Here is a 5,316-nt window from a genome sequence, read left to right on the forward strand (position 1 = left end):
GATCTAGGGGACTCACATGTCCCAATGTTTTTATTTATTTTTCCTTCAAGTCATTGCCAAAAAATCACATCCAGCAACAATTTGTGTCTTTTTTGGTATCTGAACACAATCTGATGGGAGAATCATTTTTATTTTTCCATTGTGTTCGAGATCCATTTTGAAAAAAAAAATCAATGAGAGAAGGTGAAAGAGTATTGGAAACTGAGAGATCCACTAGTGGAAAGACACAGGCTGGGCACCCCGCATTTTCCAGGAAGTGCATCTGCTGTGCTACGGTAATAGTTCTTTTGAGCCCTGTCTGGGCTCAAACTACTATTTAATGTTCAGAGCCTCGGGTTTGCTCTGAGCTCAAGTATGATTATAACAATTTTAAAGCTCAATGAAAATAGAGATGAATGAAATGAAAATGAAATGAAAAGCTGTAGAATATCATGCAGCACAGCAGCCTAACGCATCTGGCATAGAAACAAACCAAGAATGTCTTATTTTTCAAAGGGAGAGAAATAAAAAAAAAAAACTAAAAAAAGAAGATGAATATATCAAAATTGTCATATAACAATAAAATAATATAGTTTGAAATGCAAAAAAATAGTAAGGAAGAGAAGGAGAAGGAGATGGTTAGTGAAGTTCGATGCTAAAAAAAAAAATCACTGATTAAAAGGAGAGAAAAATGTTCAAACTAAGCAAGAATGTAAGTGAATAATGCATTTAAGAATTAAATAAAAAAGCCAAGAACTTGAAGCTCTCAGGCTCTCACTCAGATAAAAGTTCCCTGACAGAGGGAAGCAGCTTCTGCTCTGGTGACTTCATGCAGGGGTGAATATATCTAAAAAGGAACGATTCAGGCAAAAACAAGAAGGAGAGAGTTTACCAATGGAAGTACAGAAAACATGAAAATTCAAAAATTGAGGAAATGGTCTAATTGTCTTTAAAATAATATATCTCAGCAAAATGATACAATGGAAGATTAAGCCTGAATTTAATGACCATTTAAAAACATGGCATCACCAAACCAATAACTTCTATGTCAAAAAGTACAAGCCAATTTACAAATGGCTTTAACCAAATCTTCATGAAACTCCTTTAAATGCAGGGTAAATGGAAACCCTTCCGACTCCCACTCTAGAGCTGTACCAAACCCAAGCAAGGACAGTACAAAATAAAGAATCAGGCTGGGCGCGGTGGCTCAGGCCTGTAATCCCAGCAGTTTGGAAGGCCGAGGCAGGCAGATCACCTGAGGTCAGGAGTTCAAGACCAGCCTGGTCAACATGGTGAAACCCTGTCTCTGCTAAAAATACAAAAATTCGCTGAGCATGGTGGCACACACCTGTAGTACCAGCTACTCCAGAGGCTGAAGCAGCAGAATTGCTGGGACCTGGGAGGAGGAGGTTGCAGTGAGTCGAGATCACACCACTGCACTCCAGCCTGGGTGACAGAGCAAGACTCTCTAAATAAATAAATAAATAAATAAATAAATAAATAAATAAATAAATAAATAAATATCAAGGCGTAACCTCATGTAGATTAGACAAAGGCAGGGGATCTTGCAAATCAGTAAAAAAGTGATGATCTATAATTCAGTAAATGTTTCTGATCCTTCATATAAACCAAGATAAAATTAAAGTCCCAGATCTCACATGTGAAAACACATGCAGTAAACAACCTTTTAAAAATCTTTTCATCAGACATGTACAAATGCTACATGAGTTTTTCCTATCCAATAAGCTGTTCTTGTACATTATTTTCTTATATTTTAAATACCATGAAAGGGCACAGAAAATCACAATTTAGGATGAGAAACATAAGTCTGTGGCATGATGAGAGATGCAGCGAATTGTGTATTTTTAAAATGCCTATACGAAAATCTAAGACATCAAAATTGCCATTATACTGGTTTTTGAAGAGGTACTTTCTTTACCCAATCTGTTACCACTTATTTAAAGAGGTAACCTTTTTTTAAGAAATGCTTTCAGATCTGATTTATAATTTACCCCTTAGTTAAAGAATAAGCTTTATTTCTTGTAGAGAAGAAACTAGTAAGCATTCACTGAGATGAACAGCTTCGTTTAGCCTCCTTAATTCATTTTCATTCACTAGATATTAGGAGTATAACTCAGAGAAGGAAAAAAAATTTTCCATTGAAACAAAGACATCTCAGTTTGGATAAATATATTATTTGTGAGCAAAGAAAGTGAAGTTTCTCTATTAACTACAGAATAAACATGAGTTTAAAAAAAAAAAAGAGCAGAAACTTGGCTTTTCATTTCAGTTCCTGCACTAGCTGTGTTGTTTGAAATATCAAAACATATTTGTATTTGTATTTTGCAAAAACGGGAATAATATCAACCTACTTCACAGAACCCATAAAGAGTATGATAATAAGTAACATAACATGAATGGAATTGTACATAAAAAGTATGTAAAAACAAGAAAATAGTTGAATATGTATATTATTACATGTGAACATGAAAAGAGCTTAATGTATACAAGCGACCTTCATCTGCACTGAATTACCTCACTTGTGATGAAGATGAGATGAAGATAAAGGATCATACAAAATTCAAACCAAAGTGTGAATTTTTCCCAAGAGTACCAAAATGTTACTGAATATAGTGTGTGTGTGTGTGTGTGTGTGTGTGTGTGTGTCCATCCAAAAAATTTTATCTCAGCAGAGGCATCCCATGAATAAGAGTAGGATGTATGTGATTAGAAAAGAAAGAGTAGCAAAGTTTCCTCATCATTTTGGTTAACAATTGCTTATACATTTACTTTTGAATTTCTCATTTGCTTAATTCTGCAGGACAGATGAAATAATTGTTAATACCTTTTTCCTCCCAAGGAAATCTAAGTCTTTCCTCTATGTTATTCTCTAAGTAAACTAATCTGTTAACATAGAGATTAGTTGAAATCTAATCTCTTAGATTCTTAACTTGAAAGGTACATTCTAGTTACCCATTATTTTCTATGTGGTTAAAAAGTCACTGCCAAAAAGCCCAGAAGATGGCCATAAAATAATTTTTCTGCTTCACCTTAATGATAAATTTACAAAATTAATTCTGTGACTGAAAATGTCTTGTATTATATTTCCATGTGAGTTTTTCTCTCTTCTCTACTAATCTTCAACCTTCTGAAGACTGGACATTATTTAATCATGTTAGCAAGCATTCGAGTTTTTAACAAGGATCTTTGCACACAGATATGCCCAACCAATGTTTCTTCCACTACAGAACCAAATTAAAAACAAGGAAGATGACAGGGATTATGCTTTCTCATTATTTTTATGTTTTACATAATTCAGCAGTACCGTGTTGCAATAAGAGCATAGCAATCAATATTTCTTGAATATATAACTAAGTGCAATCTGAAAAGTAAATGAATGAGCACATAAGCAGCTAAGAACCACAGAGAGGGCCTGGTGTAGTGGCTCACGCCTGTAATCCCAGCACTTTGGGAGACCAAGTTGGACAGATCACTTGAGGTCAGGAGTTTGAGACCAGCCTAGCCAACATGGTAAAACCTCGTCTGTACTAAAATACAAAAATTAGCCAGGCATGGTGCTGGCAGCCTGTACTCCCAGCTACTCAGGAGGCTGAGGGAGGAGAATAGCTTGACCCCAGGAGGTGGAGGTTGCAGTGAGCCGAGAGCGTGCCACTTCACTCCAGCCTAGGTGACAGAGTGAGATTCCGTCTCAAAAAAAAAAATAGAACCACAGAGAGGGATGCAGCAGTAAGCCCCCTGCCCCTGACCCCCCGTAGTAGACAGCCATCAAGGTTTAGGCCGTCACCTCTTTCTCATTTCATTTCCGATGTTATAATAACCATTAAGGGATTTGTGATTATTTCCAAGTTTGGAATCTATTCTTTTCTCCTCAACTTAGTTTTTGAAGTTAATGTCTTTTTTGACTCAATCAACTCCTGAACACTTGGGAAGGACACCATCAGACAGTTTGGTTATCTTGAGATACACATTTCAGAAATGATCCTCTTAGACTACCCAGCTGAAACAGGCAAGACTGTGGGTAAGTCTTGAATCAATTCTTTTGCCATCTATTCGATGGTCTTTGTTTCTAAGTGCCAAAGAAACCTTCAAGCTCATTCTAATCTTCATTTTGTCAGTCTAGTCCATATGACTTAAATTCTACTTTCCTTCTGCTTTGAATTTCAGTGTTTTCTTATATGGTTCTCAAATTGGCTGGGCCAAGATGCCCTGCCTACCTTTCAATCATTTCCCTTGGAAAGACCAAACGTAATCTTTTCAATGTTTAATTACCAGCTCTGCTCTCACATCGAATGCATTAATTACATGGGATTACAGCAATGAAGTCCATAGCTCTTTCCTAGAACTTTTCAGTGCTATGTCCCACCCCTACAATTGTAAAAGTGTCTTTAAGAATCAAGTTCAAGTTCACTATTGTCTCTTTGGTTCTAGTCATTAGACAGTGGCCACCTTTGTTAAAAACTTATTCCAGAGTTAGTTTCACAGACCCAGCAACTGTCTCCAGCAGGCTTGACAATCAAGGTTACAGCCTTTATTATGGCCAGATCCGCCTTGTCGCTGACAATTTGAAAGCTGATTTTTGCATCGCTGCTATTTAAAGTTCAATGAAAAACCTTGGAGGGAGGAAAATAGAATTTTGACTTCACTGACATTAACTGTCCTCAGACCCTCACCCTACCCTGCTATTTGGGCGTTCAGTTTTTCTGTTCTGTTTCTCTTTGTACTTATAACTAAAATGGTGAATTCAAAGGTTCAGAAAAATAAAGGAAAATTCTATACGTAATATTCGAAGATTTAGTATTTCTTTTTCTTCCAACTGACTTTTTAAAATCTTTTGTTCCCAAAAGCAGATATCACCAGGTTCTTTTGTGCCATGTTTAGATGAATAAAAGCTTTACTTTATAAAGACTGTTCAAACATTTTAATAAAACAAATAACAGCCAAGCAAAATACCATGGCAATGTTAGCAAAGCATTTCCTGCCAAATCCAAAAGGAGATACATTGTTCTAAGCATTGCATTTGTACATACTAAGAAGCACTGTACTAAGTTGATATCCTTTGCAGGTATCTGCTCACTTAAAGTTCAGAGATTTACAGTGTTCTTCAACCAACCCACGGCTGTAGGTAGAAATCAGCTCTGGGCCCAGTTATATGAGTTCAATGTCCCATGCGCTGATGTCTTTTCTAGAAAACTATATTTCCTAGACAGGATCAGAGAAGGAAGGCAAGAGCAGGAAGACTACAGTTTTGACTTAGGTAACATAAAGGCAAATTTTGTCTCAACCTCCACTCCACCTAAATTTCACCTAAATAAGTTG

This window comes from Homo sapiens, chromosome 21, assembly GCF_000001405.40.
Source record: "Homo sapiens chromosome 21, GRCh38.p14 Primary Assembly".
In the NCBI taxonomy this organism is placed as follows: Eukaryota; Metazoa; Chordata; class Mammalia; order Primates; family Hominidae; genus Homo; species Homo sapiens.